Raw genomic sequence first — 24170 nt, forward strand, 5'->3', positions numbered from 1 at the left:
GTCTATAAGAATTTCCTTTAAAAGGCATCCGTAGGCTGCGTGCAGTGGCTCACGCCTGTAATCCCAGCACTTTGGGAGTCCAAGGTGGGCGGATCACCTGAGGTCAGGAGTTTGAGACCAGCCTGGCCAAGGTGGTGAAACCCTGTACTAAAAGTGTAAAAATTAGCTGGACGTGGTGGCGGGTGCCTGTAATCCCAGCTACTCAGGAAGCTGAGTCAGAAGAATCGCTTGAACTTGGGAGGCAGAGGTTGCAGTGAGCTGAGATTGCACCACTGCACTCCAGCCTGGGAGACAGAGCAAGGCTCTATCTCAAAAAAAAAAAAAAAAAAAAGATAAAATCTCAAGTTTAAAAAATTATTTACACTTGCCAGAATAGAAATGTTTTACTTATTTTTTTTTTTACACCTAATAGTATTAGCATGAAGACAGAGTTGATAGTAGGGAACATCACAATTTTAGGTAACTGAAGTATGTATCCTGAGCTAATTGGCTATATAGCTTCAAATTTTTGGGTTTGCATTTATATAACATTGGATATTGTACCATTAACTCTAATTCAGAAGTTTTTCTCAATTTATGTATAGCAGTGTTATTTCTTATTTCAAGAAATTGGTGTTCAGTTTTCTTGTAGAACATTTTAGAAATCATTAGCTCCAAGGTTATTGTATATATGATTCCCATGGGGGAAATGACATCTCAGCTCAAGGGACTATTTCCATGTTCCTTTTCCTGGGTTTTGCTACTAAAGTCAAGGCATATTTTTCAGGCAGCCATCCCTTTAAATTTTATTTATTCATTTGTCTGCTGGGTTATTTATTTATTTTAACATCTTGCCCTTTGTCTTAGTTCATTTTGTGCTGCTGTAACAGGATATCTGAGACTAGATAATTTATAAAGAACAGAAATTTATTTCTCACACTTCTTGAGGCTGGGAAGTCCAAGATCAAGGTATTGACGTCTGGTGAGGCCTTCTTGGTGTGTCCTCACATGGGAGAAGATGGGAGGGCAAGAGAGGATGAATGTGGTTTCCTCACATGGCAGAAGAGCAGGAGAGAGCAAACCCATTGCAATATGCTCTCTTTATGATGGCATTAATGCATCATGAGGGCGGAACTATTGTGAGCTAAATGCTTCCCATTAGGCACTATCTTCTAAGACTGTTGCATTGAGGATTAAGCTTCCAACACATGAATTTGGAGGGGACAAAAACATTTCAACCGTAGCACCATTTGTCTCCTTTGCTGCTATTGGAGGGAGAGTCCCAATTTCTCATTAGTTTATGCAGCTTGCTGCTTAGTAATGACTTATCAATGACAGTTGAAACTTGTAGTTGTATTTGATGAAGGAAATATGCACATTTCTTTATAGCACTTAGTTTTTTGCTTTGTTTTTCTACTTTATTAACATGCAGGCAAAGTGGGAGTGTTTATTTTTAAAGAAGCTTTGAGCATTAGACATGTTTTAAATCTATTTCTTCGTTTAATATCAGTTGTCTTCTAAGAAGTGTTTCTCATCAAAATGGAAACAATAAGGCTTAGATATTTAAGATAAAATGTAAGTTTTAAGCTAGTTATTGTAATGATTTACTTAGTAACTTTTACTTAGTAACTTATGTGTAACTTATGTGCCTTCCAGTACTTGAGAGTTCCTAATTTTTTTTGAAACCTTTGGCTGCAGTTCAGATAGCTGTCCTTGTTTCTTAGCATGGCAGTGCTCTTGGGTTTGGTATCATCCATTCTGTCATCTTTGTTCATAATTGTTTTTACTCATTTTAAAAATATGTTTCCAGAATTATAGTTAATTGCTGGAAACGTTGATTTTTCTTGAGTGACAAACCAATTAAGTGTGTATGACACCAGGCAACAAAGACACTTAAGATTCTGCGCTTTTCCTGTCTCTGAAAAAAATCCATTATTCATCATCTTATTGTTTTTAAATACTGAGGTAAAATTTTCAGTACAATAGGAAAATTGCCTTGGAAATGGAATAAATTGCTTGCCAGTTCAAAGGCTCCATTTCTGGAGTTGAGGTTACAAAACATGATGTTGCTTATATTCCTTATCTTTCAGAACTCGTTGTGCTGCGTTTCCCGCATTAAACTTGATAGGATTGTGACTTTTACTAAAATAAGACATAACTGTTGAATAACTTAATGAAAAAGATCAAAAGTCTCATTTAGGGTATTATATTACAATATATTTATGTGGTGGTTTGAATTTATTCACATTTTGTATAAATACTCATTTTCTAGTTGACTGTTTTAAAAGAAGTGATCTCATACAGAGAAGAAAAAAATGACATTTTAAGGGAAAATATTATTAATGTTTTAGTCTGTTACTTCATAGATCATGTAATTTTTTGCCTAAATTATAATGAAACTTGTATGTTGTGAGGTTGTTCTGTGATGCTGTCGATAGTGGTTGGAGTTGTGTATAAAAGATTATCTGGAGACACTAAAGCAAGTAACATTTTGATTGGTAGAGTAGGGTGTTTAAAAGAGGGGTGAAAAGAAGTGACTGCCATTTCTCCTAACACATTTACTTTCAACAAAGGTCTTCTTTGTGATTATTTTTAGTGACAATATTCTATTCCATGGTATATTTCACCAATTATTTATTCATGGATACTATGCTTTTTGCCATGTTTCCTTTGGTCTTTTTCAACATCACAGCACAGTGATGGTTATCTTTGTAGAGAAATCTTGAACACATTTTAAATTTCCGTGGGATAATGAGAAACCATGGTTAAAGTTTATTTACGTTACAGAAATAAAAAGCTTTCAATGCATCGTCACAAATTGTTCTCCACTCTTACCAGCGATTAAGAGTGCCTGTTTATCCAAGACCGTTGGCCATATTGAATGTTAAGAATTCTTTTTTACATTTGATAAGCAAGACATGGTCTCTTCTTGTTTGAATTTGCATATTTTAAAAGTCCTTTGTGATGGCATAAGAATGATGCAGTGGACTTTGGCGATGCAGGGGGAAAGGTTGGGAAGGGAGTGAGGGATAAAAGACTACAAATTGGGTTCATTGTATACTGCTCGGGAGATGGGTGCAGCACAGTCTCACAAATTACCACTAAAGAACTTATGTAACTAAATACCACCTGTTCCCCAAAAACCTATGGAAATGAAAAATTATTAAAAAAAAGTCCTTTGTGAAAACAAAAATTATTCCAGGTTTAAAACCTTCCAATAGCCTTCCATTACACTTAAAATTAAACCCCTTCCTGTTGCTTGGCCTGCACTGTGTCCCTTGTTCCTGCCCATCTCTTCAGCTGCTTCTGGTGTCCTGCTCCCCTTGGCCCACTGTGCACGTGCCCAGCTGGCTTTGTGTTGTGGCTCTCTTCAAGGTCTCTGTGCTAGTTGGCCAGTCTTTTTAGGCCTTCAGAGATTGGTTGCTTTTCCTCCAGATGTCACTACTTGGGGCCTAGCATCTTGGGTGATCTAAGGAAGACCTCTCCCTCACTTCCAGTCTTATGAAAAAAAATTATTGTTAATTATTCGTTATTATAGATACATAATGTTTATAGACATTTATGCGATACATATGATGTTTTGATACATGCATACAATGTGTAATGATGGAATCGGGTAATTGGGATATCCGTCACCTCCAGCATTTATCATTTCTTTGTGTTAGGAACTTTGCAATTTTATTCTTTTAGTTATTTGAAATACACAATAAGTTACTCTTAATTATAGTTGCCTTGTTGTGCTACTGAACACTGGATCTTATTCTTTGTATCTAACTGTATTTTTATACCCATTACCCATCCATTCTTTGTCCCCCACTCTCCACTACCCTTCCCAGCCTCTGATAAGCATCATTCTACTCTCTGTCTCCATAAGTCCAACTCTTTTTTAAGCTCCCACATGTGAGTGAGAACATGTGATATTTATCTTTCTGTACTTGGCTTATTTTACTTAAAATAATGTCCTTTTGTTCCATTGATGTTGATGTAAATGACTGGATCTTATTCTTTTTTACTGTTGAATGGTACTCCATTGTGTATATGTACCACATTTTCTTTATCCATTCATCTGTTGATGGACACTTAGATTGCTTCCAAATTTTAACTGTTGTAAACAGTGCTGCAACAAACATAGGAATGCAGGTATCTCTTTGATAACATCGATTTCCTTTATTTTTGGTATATACCAAGCAGTGGGATTGTTGGATCATATAGTAGCTCAATTTTTAGTTTTTTAGGAACTTTCAAACTGTTCTCCACAGTGATTGTACTAATTTACATTCCCACCAACAGTGTACAAGGGTTCCCTTTTGTCTACATCCTTGCCAGCATTTGTTACTGGTTGTCCTTTGGGTATAAGCCATTTTAACTTGGGTGAGATGATCTCTGTTTGTAGTTGTGATTTGCATTTCTCTGATGATCAGCGATGTCGAACACCTTTTCATATGCGTGTTTGTGATTTGTATGTCTTCTTTTGAGAAATGTCTATTCGGATCTTTTGCCCATTTTTTATTAGATTATTAGAATTTTCCATATAGAGTTGTTTGAGCTCCTTATAAATTCTGATTATTAATCCCTTGTCAAAGGGGTAGTTGGCAAATAGGCAAATATTTTCCCCCATTCTGTGGGTTGTCTCTTCACTTTGTTGATTGTATCATTTGTTCTGCAGAAACTTTTTAACTTGATGCTATCTCGTTTGTCCATGTTTGCTTTAGTTGCCTGTGCTTGAGGGGTATTGCCGAAGAAGTCTTTGTCCAGACCATTGTCCTGGAGATTTCCCCCAATATTTTCTTGTAATAGTTTCATAGTTTGAGGTCTTAGATTTAAGCTTTTAATGTGTTTTAATTTGATTTTTGTAGACAGTGAGAGATAGGAGTCTATTTTCATTCTTCTGCATATGGATATCCAGTTTTCCCAGCACCATTTATTGAAAAGACTGTCTTTTCCCCAGTATATGTTCTTGGCACCTTTGTCAAAAACAAGTTCACCATAGATGTGTGGATTTGTTTCTGGGTTCTCTATTCTGGTCCATTGGTCTATGTGTCTGTTTTTATGCCAGTAACTTGCTGTTTTGGTTACTATAGCTCTGCAGTATAATTTGAAGTTAGGTAATGTGATTCCTCCAGTTTTGTTCTTTTTGCTTAGGATAGCTGTAACTATTCTGGGTCTTTTGTAGTTTCATATAAATTTTCAGATTGTTTTTTCTATTTCTGTGAAGAATGTCATTGGTATTTCGATAGGGATTGCATTGAATCTGTAGATTGCTTTGGGTAGTATGGACATTTTAACAATATTGATTTTTCCAATCCATGTACATGGAATATTTTTTCATTTTTTGGTATCCTTCAATTGCCTTCATCAGTGTTTTATAGTTTTCATCATAGAGATCTTTCACTTCTTCGGTGAAGTTAATTCCTAGGTATTTAATTTTATGTGTGGCTATTGTAAATGGGATTACTTTTAAAATTTCTTTTTCACAGTGTTTACTGTTGGCATATAGAAATGCTACTTATTTTTGTATGTTGATTTTGTATCCTGCAACTACTGAATTGATCAGTTCTAATAGTTTTCTTGTGAAATCTTTAGGTTTTTGCAAATATACGTTCGTATCATCAGCAAACAAAGATAATTTGATTATTTCCTTTCCAATTTGGATTCCCCCTATATGTTTCTCTTGTCCGATAGCTCTAGCTAGGACTTCCAGTACTATGTCGAGTAACAGTGGTGACAGTGGGCTGAGAGTTTTGAAGTCTTCAGTTGCTATTGTGGATTTGTCTATTTTTCTTTCCACTTGTATTGGTTTTGCTGTATGTGTTTTGAAGCTCTGGTGGTAGGTGCATACATATTTAGGACTTTTAGATCTTAGTGGTGATTTGATCCTTTTATTATTGCGTTATGTCCCTCTATGCTAGGCAGTTCTTTTTTTGATGTCTTTGTTTTATATTAATATAGCTACTTGGCTTTCTTTTGACTAGTGTTTGCATTATATATAGTCATGTGTTGTTGAAGGATGGGGTGTGATGTTCTGAGAAATGTTAAATACCATTAATACTTAAAATACTTCCTCTAGATACTGAGTTTTGCACTCCAGAAATGTGTTTGGCAATTTCATTGTTGTGCAGCCATCCTAGAGTGTACTCAAACAGACCAAGATGATAGTGACTACTGCACATCTAGCCTATATGGTATAGCCTATTGCTCCTAGGCTACAAACTTGTGCAGCATGTTACTGTACTGAATGCAGCAGGCAGATGTGACACAATTGTGTATCTGTGTATCTAAGCATACTGAACATAGTAAAATACAGTATAAAACATAAAAAATCATACAGGACACAAATTTACAGTGTGTAAATTAATCTTTAGCTTACTGGAACTTTTTTACTTTGTAATTTTTTTAATTTTTAAAAACTTATTGACTTTTTTGTAATAACGCTTAGTTTAAAACATGAAGATATTGTTGCACAAAAATATTTTCTTTTTTTATATTCTAATTCTATATGCTTTTTTCTTTTTTAAAAAAATTTATTTTTACTTAAACTTTTTTTTTTTTTTTTTTTGGTTAAAAACGGAAACAAAAACACACATATTAGTCTAGGCCTATACAGGGTCAGGATCATCAATATCACTATCTTCCACCTCCGCATTATGTCACTGGGAAGGCAGTAACACACGGAGCTGTCATCTCCTGTGTTAACAGTGTCTTCTGCTGGGATACCTCCTGAAGGACCTGTCTGAGGCTGTTTTACAGTTAGCTTTTTAAAAAATAAATAGAAAATGTCTGATCTAAAATAATAATGATACAGTATAGTAAATACATAAACCAATAGCATAGTCATTAGTTATGATTGTCAGGTATTAGGTACTGTACATAAGTGTATATGCTCGACTTTTATATGAATGACTGGTAGCACAATAGATTTGATTTACACCAGCATCACCACAAAGATGTGAGTAATGCATTATACTGTGAACGTTATTATGGCTGTGATGTCACTAGGTGTTAGGAATTTTTCAGCTTCCTTATTATGGGACCACTGTTTTATATGCAATCCATTGTTGACTGGTATGTCATTATGCAGCGATTAACTGTTTATTTTTCCATTTTTTTTACTTTTAATCTTTTAAAGTAAGGTTGACAGAGTCTCTTAGTTTTCTTTCATCTGAGAACATCTTTGTTTTGCCTTCATTCCTGAAGGACATTGTTGCTGGATGTAGACTTCTGCTTTCACAGTTCTTTTCTTTTAGCACTTCAAACATCAAGTTCCACTGTGCTTTGGCCTCCGTTTTTCTCCATGAGAAATCTACAGGCATTTGAATCGATGTTCCTCTATATGTAATGAGTTGTGTTTCTCTGGCTGCTTTCAAGATTTTTTCCTTCATCTTTGCTTCTAGTAGTTTGATTATGATGTATCTTTATGTAGGTATCTTTGACTTCATCCTGTTTTAAGTTTGCTTTTTTAATTAGTAAATTACTTTCAGCAAATTTGGGAAGCTTTTGTCCATTTTTTTCTTCACATATTTTTCTGCCTCAATCTTTTCTGGTATTCTAATAATGACATGCATGTTAGACCTTTTCATATATAAATATAGAGAAATAGTGTGTATGCATGGGTGCGTGTGCACACACCCCCTCCCCCATCTGCTTAGAATTTCTGTCTACCCTAGGATGCTTGTAGAGTATTTTTAAAAAAAGAAAAAAAGAACTTCTGTTTTTCTATTCACTTCAAGACTGTTCAACTTTATCTCATGGAGCGTGGATATAATGGCTGTTTTAAAATTCCAATATGTTTTTCATACTGCAATTAGCATTTGTTGGTTGTTCTTTCTCTTGACTATTGGCCATATTTCCCTGTTACTTTGTATGTTGAGTTAAGTTTGGCTTGTATCCTGGACATTTTGAATATTGTGTTGTGGGATTCTGGGTCTCATAATCCTTTGAAGAATGTTTTAACAGTGCATTGACCTGGGTAGGTTTAGACCCCCAGTTCTGTTTCACCACCAGTGGGTGGTGGTTGCAATGTCAGTTCAGTTGCAAAGCCTTGGCTGTGCCATCTGCTCCCCGCCAGTGCTTGTCAGGGCCTGTTGTGTAGGACCTGAGTAATTCCCAGAGCCTGTCCTGTGCTTATTTGGGTTTGGGCACATTTTTGCAGCTCGGGGGTGAGCCTGGGACTTCTGTTGATTCATATACAGAATTAGGGCATCCCTCGTCCAGCTTTCTCCACTGTCTGGTTTATCCCATGTCTCCAATTTCCAGGGTTGTTTTTTCTCAGCTTTATGCTTTCTGAAAGTCAGGGTTTTCTCTCAGAGTTTTAGCTGTTCGTGTTGTTGTGAAGGTCCACCTGACTGGGACAGTTCTCAGGGAAAAGTTGTGTGAAAAGAGAGAACTACCAGGGACGTCCACATCCTGTTTGGACTCCAGGAGCCCATCTTCCTGTTTCCCTTGCTCTCATAGAAGGTGACTACAGTGTAGCCCTAATAGGGCTAGGAGAAACAAAAAGGAAAAAAGAAAAAAACGTTCTGCTTTGCAAGAGCCCCCTTTGCTGGGGCTGTGGCTAGAAAGGGTGGGTTTCTTCTGGAGTTTGCATTCTGCATATTGTGGGCAATGCAGATAGAGTCTTCACTTTGACAAGAACTCTGCATTGGATTTCAAGAGCCTGTTTTAGATACCTGGAGCTAAGCTGCCCTTGTCTTGAAACTGTGTGTGTCAGCCCCATCAACTGGAGGTCTGAAAGGAGGAAGAATTACTAGGAATGAAAATATGACAGGTTGTGATCAGAAATATGATTCCATCGTACACGACATGTACACTCGGCCACTGCATACGCGTACCTTCATATCACCCATGCCTTTTGGCCTCTGGGTACTTAAAACGTGCTGTTTCTCTTTGAGTTTTCTAGGCAGTGAGGACTGAATGACTGGGTTCCTGAGACTCCCTGTATTCTCTTGAAAAAAGAAAAGTCTTCCACAATACTGACCTATCTCTAAATTGCACTTTAGCAGAATGTGCTATAATTGCCTGCTTATGTGTTTGATTCCTATTTTTTGTTTCTGAAGAGCTCTTAATTTCCACTTATTGCTCCTTTCCTTCCCCTCACCAACAAGCCTTTCAAGAGGTGCATCCTTCTTCCCATGTGGACTTCTGCCCCCAACATTGATGCCTTACTAACCAAGCTTGCTGCCTTGGCTCTATGCACCCTCCTGTAGGTCCCCCAGTAACCAGTGCTGTGATCACAGACCTATTGCCCTTAGACTCTTTCTGGGTATAATTTTCATCCATGGTCTGCCGTTGCTAGGGCCCCCAGTCCTGTTTTCCCCCTAAGCTGCCTGGCTGTGATCCAGACTGGACTCTGGACCTGGCTTTGTTGGTTTGGAATACTTACTTTTCTCCTTATGTGTCAATTAAGGATGGTACTATCTCTGTCCCTTATTTATGTTTTAATAGTGGGTTTTGGTTAGTTTTAGCTGTCTTCTATATGGAATTTAGAGAATGTTAAAAAAGATTTCAATATAAATGACTGCCTTTATCCCAGAGGAACCCACGAGTCTGCTTTCTCAGTTTTTACATTGAGACAATGCCTCCACAAATACTTGATGCAAAATTCAGTAAGACAGCACTTGTTGAATCACCATTATAGTTTCTGACAAATTGTTCTCAAAAAGGTAAGTTTTTATTTTTTAAAGATAAATTACATTTGTGATTGAGGAAGGATAAAAGGAACAGTTTTGATGATAGGCTGCCTGTTTCTTGAAATCAAGAGGATTGTTGAGCTTTAAAAGGTCTGCTGGTTGTTGAGATTTTTTCATTGAATAGCGCATTTTAGTGAAGAGAATAACAGAATAAATGGGACATAGCATCATTCCCCAAAGATATAAACTGTCAGCAAACCAAGGGATGATGTTGATACCTTTCAGATACAGACAGCTACATACTGTCGAAAGTCACTTCTAGAATGTTGGTTGATGACTTAAAGTTGTGTAACATAGAGTGTTTAGATGTTGCTTGGAGTGAACATTCTTTGCTATAGTCATGTTTCAGAAGATTGGTTTTTTCTGACTGGATTAAGTGCAGTGAGGAGCTGTTGAGCAGCATTGGTTGTGCTGTCAGGCTGCCCATCCGCACCACAGATGCCTCCAGGATTATGCTCACAGCACGGTTAACAGAGACTTCTTCAGCTAGCACAGGTCTCGTTGGGCAGCTTTTTTACCTTAGCTAACTTATTCCTTTGCAAAAGAAAGCAGCCTCTGCAGTCTTATTTATAATGCTTTCCCTCAGCTGAAGACAGCCTAATTTGAGGAAATATTGTCCCTAAATGAAACACACTGTAAAGAAGACTGCTTGGCCTATCTCAGCACTCCATTTTTACCCTAACTAGGTACCAGCTGGAGGATGAGTCTGCGCATTTGGATGAAATGCCACTAATGATGTCTGAAGAAGGCTTTGAGAATGAGGAAAGTGATTACCACACCTTACCACGAGCCAGGATAATGCAAAGGAAAAGAGGACTGGAGTGGTTTGTCTGTGATGGCTGGAAGTTCCTCTGTACCAGGTTTGTTATCCATTGCTACCTAATTTCCTTATATGCTAAGGTTACTTATAAGGTTAGCTTCTAATATACTTATTAGCTATATTAATATAAAAACTCAAGGAGATATTCCTTAAATGATATCATGGAGATTATCAGTACATTAATCAAAGCCAAACAATGCTAATATGAAAGGAAAGGAAAGCCAAATTATTATCTTACGAGAAGTTTTAATGGTTAAAAGCTGGAGGCCGGGTGTGGTGGCTCATGCCTGTAATCCTAGCACTTCGGGAGGCTAAGGCGGGCAGATCACTTTGAGCTCAGGAGTTTGAGACCAGCCTGGACAACATGGTGAAACCCCATTTCTACTAAAAATACAAAAATTAGCTGGGCGAGATTGTGAGCTCCTGTAATCCCAGCTACTAGGGAGGCTGAGGCAGGAGAATCACTTGAACCTGGGAGGTGGAGGTTACAGTGAGCCGAGATCGAGCCACTGCACTCCATCCTGGGCAATGGAGTAAGACTCTGTCTCAAAAAAAAAAAAAAAAGCTAGAGAAAATTAGTGACTTTATAGCTAATGCATGATAGAATTAATAATGGTTGCTCTATCAACATTTATAAATGGTTTTTCTTTTTCTTCCCAAAAGATAGATATGGGCCTATACTCCTCTGGTATATCTTTTACTCAGATTCACCTATATTTTTCCCCACATTTTGCTACATTTATTTTATTATTATTTTTATATCATTATTTTTCTGAGTCATTTCAGACTAGGTTGATTACTTCATTCCTCTTCTTAATTCTTCAGTGTGTATTTTCTAAGAAATAGGTATTTTCTTTTTTTTTAATTTTTTTAATTTTTTATTTTTTTATTTTTTATTTGTTCTTTCCCTCCCCCCTCCCCCCTCCCCACCACAGTCCCCAGAGTGTGATATTCCCCTTCCTGTGTCCATGTGATCTCATTGTTCAATTCCCACCTATGAGTGAGAATATGCGGTATTTGGTTTTTTTGTTCTTGCGATAGTTTACTGAGAATGATGGTTTCGAATTTCATCCATGTCCCTACAAAGGACATGAACTCATCATTTTTTATGGCTGCATAGTATTCCATGGTGTATATGTGCCACGTTTTCTTAATCCAGTCTATCATTGTTGGACATTTGGGTTGGTTCCAAGTCTTTGCTATTGTGAATAGTGCCGCAATAAACATACGTGTGCATGTGTCTTTATAGCAGCATGATTTATAGTCATTTGGGTATATACCCAGTAATGGGATGGCTGGGTCAAATGGTATTTCTAGTTCTAGATCCCTGAGGAATCGCCACACTGACTTCCACAATGGTTGAACTAGTTTACAGTCCCACCAACAAGGCTACAGTAACCAAAACAGCATGGTACTTGTACCAAAACAGAGATATAGATCAATGGAACAGAACAGAGCCCTCAGAAATAACGCCACATACCTACAACTATCTGATCTTTGACAAACCTGAGAAAAACAAGCAATGGGGAAAGGATTCCCTATTTAATAAATGGTGCTGGGAAAACTGGCTAGCCATATGTAGAAAGCTGAAACTGGATCCCTTCCTTATACAAAAATCAATTCAAGATGGATTAAAGATTTAAACGTTAGACCTAAAACCATAAAAACCCTAGAAGAAAACCTAGGCATTACCATTCAGGACATAGGCGTGGGCAAGGACTTCATGTCCAAAACACCAAAAGCAATGGCAACAAAAGCCAAAATTGACAAATGGGATCTAATTAAACTAAAGAGCTTCTGCACAGCAAAAGAAACTACCATCAGAGTGAACAGGCAACCTACAACATTGGAGAAAATTTTCGCAACCTACTCATCTGACAAAGGGCTAATATCCAGAATCTACAATGAACTCAAACAAATTTACAAGAAGAAAACAAACAACCCCATCAAAAAGTGGGCGAAGGACATGAACAGACACTTCTCAAAAGAAGACATTTATGCAGCCAAAAAACACATGAAGAAATAGGTATTTTCTTATATAACCTTAGTACAGTTATCAAATTCAGGAAATTTAACATTGATACAATGCTTTGTATCTACTTTAAGTTTATATTTCAATGTTGTCTATCATCCCAGTAATGTCCTTTGTAGCCTTATTTTCTCTAGTACTGGATATGGTCACATGTCACATTTAGGTGGCATGCTTTTTTAGTGTCTTTTAATCTGGAGTAGTAGTTCAGTGTTTATCTTTCATTCCATTGACATTTTTGAAGAATGAACATCAGTTATTATACAGAATGTTTCACATTCTGTTTTGTTTGTGTTTCCTCGAAGTTAAACTCAGCTTAAGCACCCTCTGTGGAATACTGTGTAAGTGATGCTATGGCCTTCTCAGGGTGTTTGATTCCTGTTTGATTGATTTCTGGTCTTCCCTTTATTTTCTCTCTTATTTTGTTTGACTTTAACTCGCTTTTCTTTTTCTAGCTTCATAAGATGAATGCTCAGGTCTCCAATATTCTTCCTTTTTCCTTTCTAAAAATAGGTGCATTTAAGTTTTGACAGGTATTATCATTAAGTTCAAAATCTATTTCTTTTTTCTTTTCTTTTCTTTTTTCTTTCTTTTCTTTTCTTGAGACGGAGTCTTGCTTTGTTGCCAGGCTGGAGTGCAGTGGTGTGATGTCAGCTCACCTCAACCTCCGCCTTCTGGGTTCAAGCGATTCTCCTTCCTCAGCCTCCTGAGTAGCTGGGACTACAGATGTGCACCAGCATCCCCGGCTAATTTTTGTATTTTTAGTAGAGATGGGGTTTTGCCAAGTTGGCAAGCTGGTCTCAAACTCCTGACCTCAAGTGATCTGCCTGCCTTGGCTTCCCTTAGTGTTGGAATTACAGGCGTGAGCCACCGTCCCTGGGCCCAAATATTTTCTAATTTCCATTGTCATTTCTAATCTAAATCCATGTTTGATTTATAACTATGTTGCTTGATTTCCAAAGTTAGAGATTTTTCCTAGTTAACTTTTTATAATTATTATCATTTTAAATAGAGACCAGGTCTTGCTATGTTGCCCAGGCTGGTCTTGAACTCCTGAGCTTAAGTGATCCACCTCAGCCTCCCAAAGTGCTGGGATTACAGGCATGAGTCACCATGCCCAACCTGTTTTTTGCAGTTATTTTTTTGTAATTGATTTGTATCTGAATTTCATGAGGCCATTGAATATACTTATAATTTTAAAAAATGGGCCAGGTGCAGTGGCTCACGCCTGTAATCCCAGCACTTTGGGAGGCTGAGGCAGGTGGATCACGAGGTCAAGAGATTGAGACCATCCTGGCCAACACAGTGAAACCCTGTCTCTACTAAAAGTACAAAAATTAGCTGGGCATGGTGGTGTGCACCTGTAGCCCCAGCTATGCGGGAGGCTGAGGCACAGGAGAATCACTTGAACCCAGGAGGCGGCGGTTGCAGTGAGCCGAGATCATGCCACTGCACTCCAGCCTGGCAACAGAGTGAGACTCTGTCTCAAAAAATAAAATAAAAATTTCAGTGTTTGTAATGTGTTGAGACTCGCTTTATGGTTCATCATATAGACAACTTGTAGCAAATTTTCTTTGTGTATTTGAAAATAATTTGTATTTTTCAGTTGTTAAGTGCACTGCTCTGTATGTCAGTGAAGTCATAGTTGTTGGTTGTCTAGTTCAAATCTGTGTTGCTGTTCATGGTTTGCTTGTTTGTCAGTTACTGAGAGACTTCATGAGTTTCTAAACATCATTGTGGATGTGTCTTTCTTTTGGTTAATTTTGGAGTGTGTTATTAGATGATGGACATTTAGGATTATTAACCTTTTCAGTTGACCTTTTATTGTCTTTAATTGTTCCTCTTTTATCTTTAAATATACTTTGTGAAGACTTGTCTAATTTCAATAAAACTATACCAGCTTTTTTGATTAATGTTTGCATGGTATATATTGTCATTCTTTTACTTTTTAAAAAAATTTTTAAAAATTTTGAATTTGGAAATAATTAGCTACAGGAATTGCAAAAATAGTATAGAGGGGTCCTGTATTAGTTCATTTTCACACTGCTAATAAAGACATACCCGAGACTGGGCAATTTACAAAAGAAAGAGGTTCAGTTAGACTCACAGTAGTTCCACATGGCTGGGGAGGCCTCACAATTATGGCAGAAGGCAAGGAGGAACAAGTCACATCTTATGTGGGTGGCAGCAGGCAAAGAGAGCTTGTGCAGAAAAACTCCTGTTTTTAAAATCATCAGATCTCGTGAGACTCATTCACTATCAGGAGAACAGCCCAGGAAAGTCCCACCCCCATAACTCAATCACCTCCCACAACAGGTGGGAATTGTGGGAGTTAAATGCAAGATGAGATTTGGGTGGGGACACAGCCAAACCATATCAGGTTTCTTGTATTTTTGACCCAGTTTACCCCAGTTGTTACATCTTATGTAACTATAATATGAAACCAGGACACTTACCTTGGCACAGTGTGTGTGTGCAGTTCTCGGTGATTTCATCAGGTGTTGATTTTGTAATCACCACTGCAGCCAAGATGCAGAACCATTCCAACCCCACAGGGAGCTTCCTGTGCCACAGCCACTCCTGTCCCTCTGAGCCCTGGCCTTGGAAACCACTCATCAGTTCTGCATCTCGTTTTAATATCAAGAATGTTACATAACTGAAATTACTCAATATGTGATACTTAAAAATTGTTCTATTTTTTTTCCATATTGTAGTGATATCTGTATTATGTGATTTGTTTTTTGAGGTTGGCCTATTTCATTCAACATAATGCTGTGAGAGCCATCCAAGCTGTTGTGTAGGTTGTGTCAAGTTTTTGGATATTAGAAATAAGGCTGCCATGAACAATTGTGTACATTTGTGTGTGTGGATGTGTGTGGACAGAAGTTTTCATTTCTCTGGAATAAATGTCCAGAAACTTCATTGCTGGGTTGTATGGTAAGTGTATATTTAGCTTTTTAAGAAACTGCCAAAATATTTCCCAGAGTTGCTGTACCATTTTACATTTGCACTAGCAGTGTTTGAGAGATCCAGTTTATTGTCACTGTTGTTGATTGTAGCTGTTCTAGTAGATATGGAGTGATGGTTCATTGTGTTTTTCATTCCCATTTTCTTAATGCTAGGGAGGTTGGACATCTTTTTGCCATTTGTGTACTCTCATAAGTAAATGTTTTTCCATCTTTAATTTCTACTTGTGTTGTTTATTATTTTTTTCTTGTTGAATTTGGAGAGTTCTTTACATATTCTAACTATGGGTCCTCTGTCAGACATGTAGTTGGACATATTTTCTTTCTTTCCTTTTTATTTTATTTTTTTTCTTTTTTTTGAGACGGAGTCTCGCTCTGTCACCCAGGCTGGAGTGCAGTGGCTCGATCTTGGCTCACTGCAACTTCCGCCTCCTGGGTCCAAGCCATTCTCCTGCCTCAGCCTTTCGAGTAGCTGGGACTACAGGTGCCCACCATCATGCCCGGCTAAGTTTTTTTTGTGTATTTTGGTAGAGACAAAGTTTCACCATGTTGCCAGTCTGTATCTTGTCTTTCCATCCGTTGAGATTCAGAGAGACTTCACTGGATCCAGTGTTTTTAATTTTGGTGAGGTCTGAATTATTGCTTTTGTTACTTTTGTGAATTGTGCTTTTGGTGTCGCATCTAAGAATTTCACAGAACTCTTTGTTGAAGATGTTCTTGCATGCATTTTATAGCTTTACATTTGAATATTTAAAAAAATTTTTTTGGTGAGGTGAGAGGTTTAGGTTGAAGTTCATTTTTTAGCCAGTGCGTATCCAAATATTCTAATACCACTTGATTGTACATGAGCGGAGCTGTCTGTGGCCTTGGTTCTGTTCTCTTCTCCATCTCATCAGTGTGTCAGTTCCTGCCAGTACCACACAGTGTGCTGTACTGTGGCTTTATAGAAAATCTTAACATGGGTAGGCTAATTCTTCTTACTTTTTTCAGAAATCTTTAAGTTATTCTAGTTCCTTTGCCTTCACTTAGAAATTTTAGAATAATCTTGTTCATATCTACAAAATCCTTACTAGGATTTTGATAGGACTTGTGTTGAACCTATATATTTTATTAGTTTGGGGGGGATTGACATGTTTCCTATGTTGAGTCTTCTAGATCATGAACATGGTACCTTTTGCTCCGTTTTATTTGAAGATAATTTGATCTCTTTCACTAGCGTTTTGTAGTTTTCAGCATGCAAACATTAGATTTACTCCTAAGTGTTTAACTTTTTGGAGTGATCGTAAATGGTTTGGTATTTTAAATTTTGGATTCCACATTTTCTTTGCTAGTGTGTAGAAATACAGTTGATTTTGTATGTTAGATCCTTTATCCTATAACCTTGCTGAACTCACTGGTGCTAAGAGTGGTTTTGTAGATTCCTTGTAATCTATAAAGACAGTCATGCCATCTGCAGATAGCAGTGGTATTACTTCTTCCGTTATGGTCTGTGTGCCTTGCCTTGTGGAGCTGGCTGGAACGTACAGCATTGTGCAGTAGCGAGAAGGGTCACCGTCACCTTGTTCTTTCCCAGGTGGGAGCTGACAGTATTGCAGCATTAAGCAGATATGGACTGTGGGTTTTTTAAAGATATTACTTAACTAAACCAAATAACTATTTGTAGTTTTTTTTTTTTTTTTTTAAGAAATCTATCTTGTATTAAGAAACAAAACAAAGCATTGGCAGGAGAAGTGGTCTAATACATAGTTTTGTCAGACCCAGAAACAGGCTCTGGAGATGTAAGTTGCAGAGTCCTTATCATTGTGGTGATCGTGGAAGCCACACAGAAGGATGATGTTCTTGAAAAGGTTGGGAGACATGTGGTATACCTCTGTGAAGAATAAGGAGGTGACACCTTTGGAAAGAGGATGTATTGGAAAGGAAGAATAGTATCCATCCTCTTTGGCATGAGGAAAACTAGGGGAGGAAGAATGAAATAGTGGTGGTGACTGTGACTTCTATTCTCAATTGGGAACATCAGGTCAATTAAGTAAGGATATGATTAGGATTCAGACGAGGGCTGAAAAAAATGGGAAAATTTGGTCACGCTTTGGTAGAGATCATCAATAATCAGCAAAGGAAAATCAATAATAATTTGTATTGAACTTGGCATAAATTTATGGTGATGAGTCCATCAGGGAAGAGCCTGGGTGATGACAGAGCTGGCTGAGGAAGTGTGGTGTGGGGAGTTGTGGTGAGGTAGGCCCCCACGACGTTGTGAATTGATGAGTTTGTAGGGGCAGAGAGTTGACTGCTACCAATTTGCTTAGGCTAAGTGCTTTTCTTCTGTGGTCCATATGGTCCCTTCTTAAAGAAGATGGGTGTTCTCACCACTATTTACAGCCAAGAACCGGAAGAGTCCCTTTTGTGACAGCTAAGAGCCAGCCCAGAAATTGAACCAGGTCCTGACCTGGTGACCTAAAGCCCTTCCTTTTTGCACCCTGGACTGGGAACTTTGCTAGGATAAGGACGCGTGGCCCGAAGAAGACCCTGATTTGCTGTCTTTGAAGTGGAATAGCTCTGTGGCAAATGCCTGGTCTCCCCATCCTAGAGGTACATCACCATGGAGATCATTGGGTTGAGAAGGTTGAGGATCTGTGTCCAGGCCGTTAGGTGATTTTTTGTGTGTGTGGAAAATCACTGGGTATTGGGGGAGACTGCAGGATGTTCATAGAGGAAGTGGGAACTGGGCACTGATGGGTGCAGTGCTGGGGACATGGGCAATGCAGTGTTCATGGTGGGGACTCTTCACAGACCCTGTGTGTTGTGGAAGTGATACTTATTTGGCCATATAGTAACAGTAGCATACCAGCACTGTACTAGTCAGGTAGTTAACAAGAATTGCGGACTTTAGAATGTTCTCAGTCTCATCATAGTGTTAAATAGATTATTGAACTAATTTTTCTGGTTTTTCACATGATTTTGTTTTTACCAAGTGAAATGTAACAGCCAAATTTTAGGTTTTACTTATAATATACTCCTTTTCTTAAGGAAAATATTAAGAATATACTTGAAAATATAGATGGTAGCAGCAAAAACACCCGTGTTTGCGGGAGTTAAAACAGCTTAGTAAAATATCCTAGATTTGTCTAGGAAGTCTTTATCTTTTTTTTTTTCTTTTTGAGACAGGCACTCTCTTGCCCAGGCTGGAGTGCAGTGGTGCCATTATGGCCCACAGCAGCCTTGACCTCCAGGGCTCAAGCAATTCTTTCACCACAGCCTCCCAAGTAGCTGGGACTACAGTCATGTGCCACCACACCCGGCTAATTTTTTTATTTTTATAGAGGCAGGGTCTTTCTATGTTGTCTAGGCTGAAAGTCTTTATTTTAATAAATTGTGATCATGTGGAAAAAGCTAGCTGAGCCATCTTGGCAGGCTGTAATCAGTCTATATTGGCACTAAGGAATGTCCTACTGCCATATGGGATGAGAAGCGACCTGAGGTATTGTCATGCTGTTCTTATTCAGGAGATACCTGCTACACTGAGAAATCATTATGGAAATTAAACCCTGCACGTTAGAGAACCAAACTATACATTTAGCAAGTAGATTGGTCTTCTTTGTTTCTTATAAATTTTCAGTTGTGAATGTTTGCTACTTTTTAATTTCCCAAATACCAGGCATTATAAAATTCACTGTTACTAACATTATTTGGTGGCTCAAAGAATAGATTTATACAGTTAGTTTAACTGCAGGAGGAAAATGTTTGGAATCTTGCAATACAGGTAGATTGTAACTATTATTAATGAGTTGTAAATATTTAAGTGTATTTCTATTTGTAGATCCTGTAAGTAGTAAGGATCATTTTAAAATTATTATTAAAAGACTGAGCGAGTAGGCTTTAATTTCTTCATGGCTTGAGACCTGCTTTCTCATTTTTATTTGACAAAAATCCCAACTTGGACACTTTGAAAAAATTGTTCTGGTATCTGTCTTTTAAAACTTTGAATCTTTTTCATGTGAGTGAATACACCTTTCTGTAAGCGGTTGTGAGTCATATTGATAGTTCTCTGATCTGGGTTAATGTCTTTCTCACGAGATTTACATTTCACTTGTTATCAAAAATCACTTTGTCCTTAGGAAAGTGGAGCCAGTGAATGGCATTTCCATAAGAGGGGAGGGGAGGTATCAAATGCTGGGATTATTCCTAGTTCTAATGTCCTCAACTAATCGGCAGACGTTGAGGGCACAGAAGCATGGGCGAATGTGCTCATCTTTTAAGAAGACATCAGCATTGTGTTGCTTTTAAATTGGTGACCATAGGTATCTATTGGATGTAATAATTGTCTAATTTTTGGGGGGTGGAGAGAAAGGAGGCTAAATCTGTGGGAATTATTTAACTATGACTAGTTAACATTTTAGAAGATAGGCTCTTGATGTGTTAATATGCTTTGTTTAATGTTATGATTTGATTATAGAGGCATTTTGTGAAAAGCTACTAATCCTAAAACATTTTAAGAAAAAGTATAACTTGTACACTGCTGGATATAGTTTCAGCTGGACTTGATGATGTAAGGCAATTTAAATATAAGGGGGAAAGTGTTCCTGAATAATCAATAATTTAGAAACTATTTCGCGTACATAGAAATGCTATTGAGTAAAGCTCCTAGTTACTGTCTCCCAAGGACTTCTGTTTGCTTCTCCCTCGTTGTGCAATATTTGCCAGTATGCTTTCCTCACATTTTTGTCCTCAAAAATTCCCCATATTTCATTTTCCTTTTTAGCTCTACTACTCAGTGAGGCTTAAACATACTGTTTTCGTTACAGTGTTTATGTATCCTTGGGGCTCATGCCTTTTACTGCTAGCATGGAAGTCGCCTGACTCCCCTGTATAGTGGTTTCTGGCTGCATGATCCAGGGGCAGTTCTGGTGCACCTGCAGGCCTTTCACACCTCATGCCTGTTGCGAGTGTATTCATTCAGTTTTGTATAGTAGCACATGATATGATAGTGGCGTCTTAACCACTACTTTATTCTGTCTGTACACAATAAAATTATTAGTAGCACAGTGATACAAATAACATAATTTATATCATCAAAGTCTAGGCATCTTAGATTTACTGGTACAGGGTTATAGAGGAAAAAACTGAGTAAAATGTTGAATATTTATGTTTTTAGCAGTGGGCATTGAATTTAGAGTTTCTCGAGTGAGAGTGATGTCAGTGAGGCATTAGTTCATGTAGTTGCTGACAGTGATGGTGACGTTAAGGTTTCTGTTGTGCTGCTGTTTACAGTGCTCATGTTATGCAGACAGTGGTCTTGCGTTTATAGTGTCGTTTGTCTGGAAGAACATGTTAATATCAGATAATGCTATAAAGCTTATATTTTCTAAATTTTATATGTATCTTTTCAAATACTTAGATCTTAATATTTGATTTTTCATTTTGAATTTGTCTGACTTTTGTATACTAGAACATCAGAGTAGATAATTATGTGTCTTAGAGCAAAAATTCATATCTGAGTCCGTTCCTGAAGAATTTTGCTCTATTTGAAATGCTGAAGAGAAATGTGCTCATATGAAGCCTGTCTTGCACCTGTGGCCCAGCTTGCAATGTGCTCTGTTGATGCCACTGCTGTCCAGTAGAACTCACTGTAGTAATGGAATATTCTCCATCTGGGATGTCCATTATGGTAGCCACTAGCCAGGGTGCCCACTGAGCTCTTGAGATGTGGCTGATGTGACTGAGGAACTGGATGGTAAGTTTTATTTAATTTTAATTAATTGAAATGAAAGTTGCCACATGGGGCCGATGGATGCTCATTTGGACGGTCCAGGCCTGGGTACTCTTTGTGCCCAAGCTACTGTTGGGAGGAGGGTGACCTTTTGAGTGGGATGTTGGGAGGCAGGAGAGTGAAGACCGAGGCCTCGGGGGCTTCCTCCGTGGGCGGCATTGTGCTGAGCCTTCGTAGTGTGTAGACTCCACTCTTGTCAGTGCTTTGCAGATGAGTGAACAGAGACTCAGACCAAGGAGCTTCCATAGGGTCACTTGCTGGTGATTGTCTCCAAAACATGACTTTAAAATCCATGTTTTTCCATTGTGTTTTGTTGCCTGCTCACAAGTGATTCATTTTTTTCCCATCATCTCTTGAATGGCTGTGGTGCCATGCCTGGGCTGAGGAAAGGCGGTGCATGAACTTGAGCAAGAGCTGGCCTCTGCCTGTTGTCAGCTCAGTGAATGGACATGATACTGATGTGGCGGGAGGTTGAGATCCAGGCTCTCGTTTCAACTCTGCCATTGCCTAGTGGTTTAGTCTTAGAGAAGTCACTTGCCTGTGGGACCTCCAGTTTTCTTGTCTATGTGATGTGGGAGTTCGGCATCAGTATAGTGTAGTTGCAGTTGTCTGAGATGGTAATTCTTAGGTAACATAACTAGGATTTTCCTGGCACTAGGAGTGTGTGCTGTCACCAGATAAAAGAGTGATGATTTATAGCTGCTGTTGGTGGGAGGAGTTGGGGAAGGAGTGCCCATGAGCCCCTGCCATGGGGGAAGGCGACTCAGAGTAGAAGAGAGCACAGAGCAGTCGCAGTCTGCATGGCACCACAGCAGGGATGCTGGAGGGAAGGAGGCATGTGAGAGTGTTCGAGATGGACAGTACAAGCAAGAGGTAAGGTGAGAGAAATAGTCATTGAAAGCTTACTCTATTTTATTTGAAGCCTTATTTAATTTTTCTTTCATTCAAGCATAAACAGATAAAATATTATCAGCATTTTATTGAAATCTACTTGACCATTTCCTTTCCTACCCTACCAAAAATATTAATGGTGAACATACTTGTTTTGACAATCTTAAATCACTTTAATACCACCCTGATTTATAACTGTTGTGGACTTGAAAGTATGCTTTCAGTTTGGAGGTGTTTGGGTTTATTGTTTCAAAAGTGCTGATGGCAGTGCTAAGATGTTCCACTCTTGCAAAGCTCAGTCTTTGTGTGCTGCGGTAGAAGTTCTAGAATAAGGGTGGGGGGAGCTGGCTTGCTTGGCTATCCCCGTGGCAGAGCATCAGCCCCGTGAGCGAGCACTGCTTAAGGGAGCAGTGCTTGGCAGTCCTTCACGTGCTGGAACAGTCCCTGTTAGGGATGGGCAGCCTCCACAGAACCAACCTCTGACCTTTCAGTGTGAGGATCTTCCCAGCACAGCTGAGAATTAAGTGGATATTCATAGGGATAGTACCAACTTCAGTTGAGACACACACACATGCCCTCATAAGGAATGCTACTATGGGAGATTTATGAAGTTTACTTCATATATTCAAATTCATAAATTCAAATACTGAAACCTGCAAGTTTTCAGTATTTGTAAAGTGATTTCTAAAGCAGGAGAGCATTACGATTATATAGTAAGGGTGTGGCACTCCAGCATGGGAGACAGCAATTCTGAGATGGAGCTCTGATGTGTCAGCCTCATTTTGTAATCAGCCTTATGCTGTCATTTTCATGCAAAACTTTTTGTTAACTTTTAAGCTTCCTTTGTCACAAACATGAAGAATATTTGACTTATACGGCAGGCTTTCTATTCTAGCCTTGAATACAATTAGAAGGTGAGATTTAACAACTTCCTTTAGTAAGCCATTCTGAGTCTTTCTCTACATTTTGAAAATTTAAATTAAACCAAAATTTTAATACTGAAGTTTAAATTCATGATTATTTTGTGCTTAAAAGAGATGAATTTGATACCTTTTCATCATTTTCTGAGGTATTTTTAGAAACTCTATACTGTCTACCCCAAAATAATGGTTTGGATGACCAAGAAGGGGAAGAGTTGTGCTCCTGAAACCCAGACACTATTGGAACAGGGTAAATGTAAAATTAAAATATTTACTGCATAGATGAAGAGAGCTATGTGGAAATACAGTCAAGCTTTTATTATCATTAGAATATCACAGGAAACATTTGTATCCTCTTTAAATATTGGATTGAGCTGTCTTTTTTTTTTTTTTTTTTTAAGATGGAGACTCACTCTTTCGCCCAGGCTGAAGTGCAGTGGCATTGTCTTGGCTCACTGCAATCTCTGCCTCCCGGGTTCAAGCTATTCTCCTGCCTCAGCCTCCTGAGTAGCTGGGATTACAGGTGCCTGCCACCATGGCTGGCTAATTTTTGTATTTTTAGTAGAGACGGGGTTTTACCACATTGGCCAGGCTGGTCTTGAACTCCTAACCTCAGGTGATCCGCCTGCCTCGGCCTCCCAAAGTGCTGGGATTACCGATGTGAGCCACCACGCCTGGCCTGAGCTGTAAGTCTTAATATTGCATTAGTTAATACTACTGGAAAAGTCATTTTTTAAGAGTGGAAAAAGTGATTATTACTTCAGAGAATGAGCCACATCCTGGATTAATTGAAATCCAAGGACCTTTATCATTGAAAAGTGTATTGGGAATTACCAGTAGGTAACCTATAGCTATAGCTATACCTTTTCTCGACATATAGAGCATTGACTGCTTCAGAATATTAATGGTTTTATTTTGCCAATAAGAGTGTCTAAACAGAAAGATAATTCCCCTGGGGTACATTTATATAAGACTTTGTATTTTATGTCAAATTTAAATTTGTGTAACCAACCTATTATAAGAAAAACCCCACAAATTAGCATTAGGTGTGCTATTAGTGTGTGGTGAATACAGAAACAATCAATATTGACTCTAAATATGTACAATTA

At 38.3% G+C, this 24170-nt stretch overlaps 1 protein-coding gene across 31 annotated transcripts in view; it reads left to right on the forward strand.

Moving 5' to 3' along the window:
- ATP9B (ATPase phospholipid transporting 9B (putative)) overlaps window positions 1-24170 on the forward strand; it is a 308890-nt gene that overhangs the window by 16731 nt on the left and 267989 nt on the right. For 30 of the 31 annotated variants that reach the window (NR_148360.2, XM_017025726.2, XM_011525963.3 and 27 more), the window contains one exon: window positions 10352-10525. Coding sequence is in view for 30 of the 31 variants with exons in the window: in XM_017025726.2 (XP_016881215.1) it covers window positions 10352-10525 (174 nt within the window). In the remaining variant the exon portion in view is untranslated. Of the gene's footprint in view, window positions 1-897; window positions 1555-10351; window positions 10526-24170 lie in introns of those variants that run through there. The other variant, XM_011525966.3, reaches the window with a different exon arrangement.

Source organism: Homo sapiens, chromosome 18 (assembly GCF_000001405.40).
Source record: "Homo sapiens chromosome 18, GRCh38.p14 Primary Assembly".
NCBI lineage: Eukaryota > Metazoa > Chordata > Mammalia > Primates > Hominidae > Homo > Homo sapiens.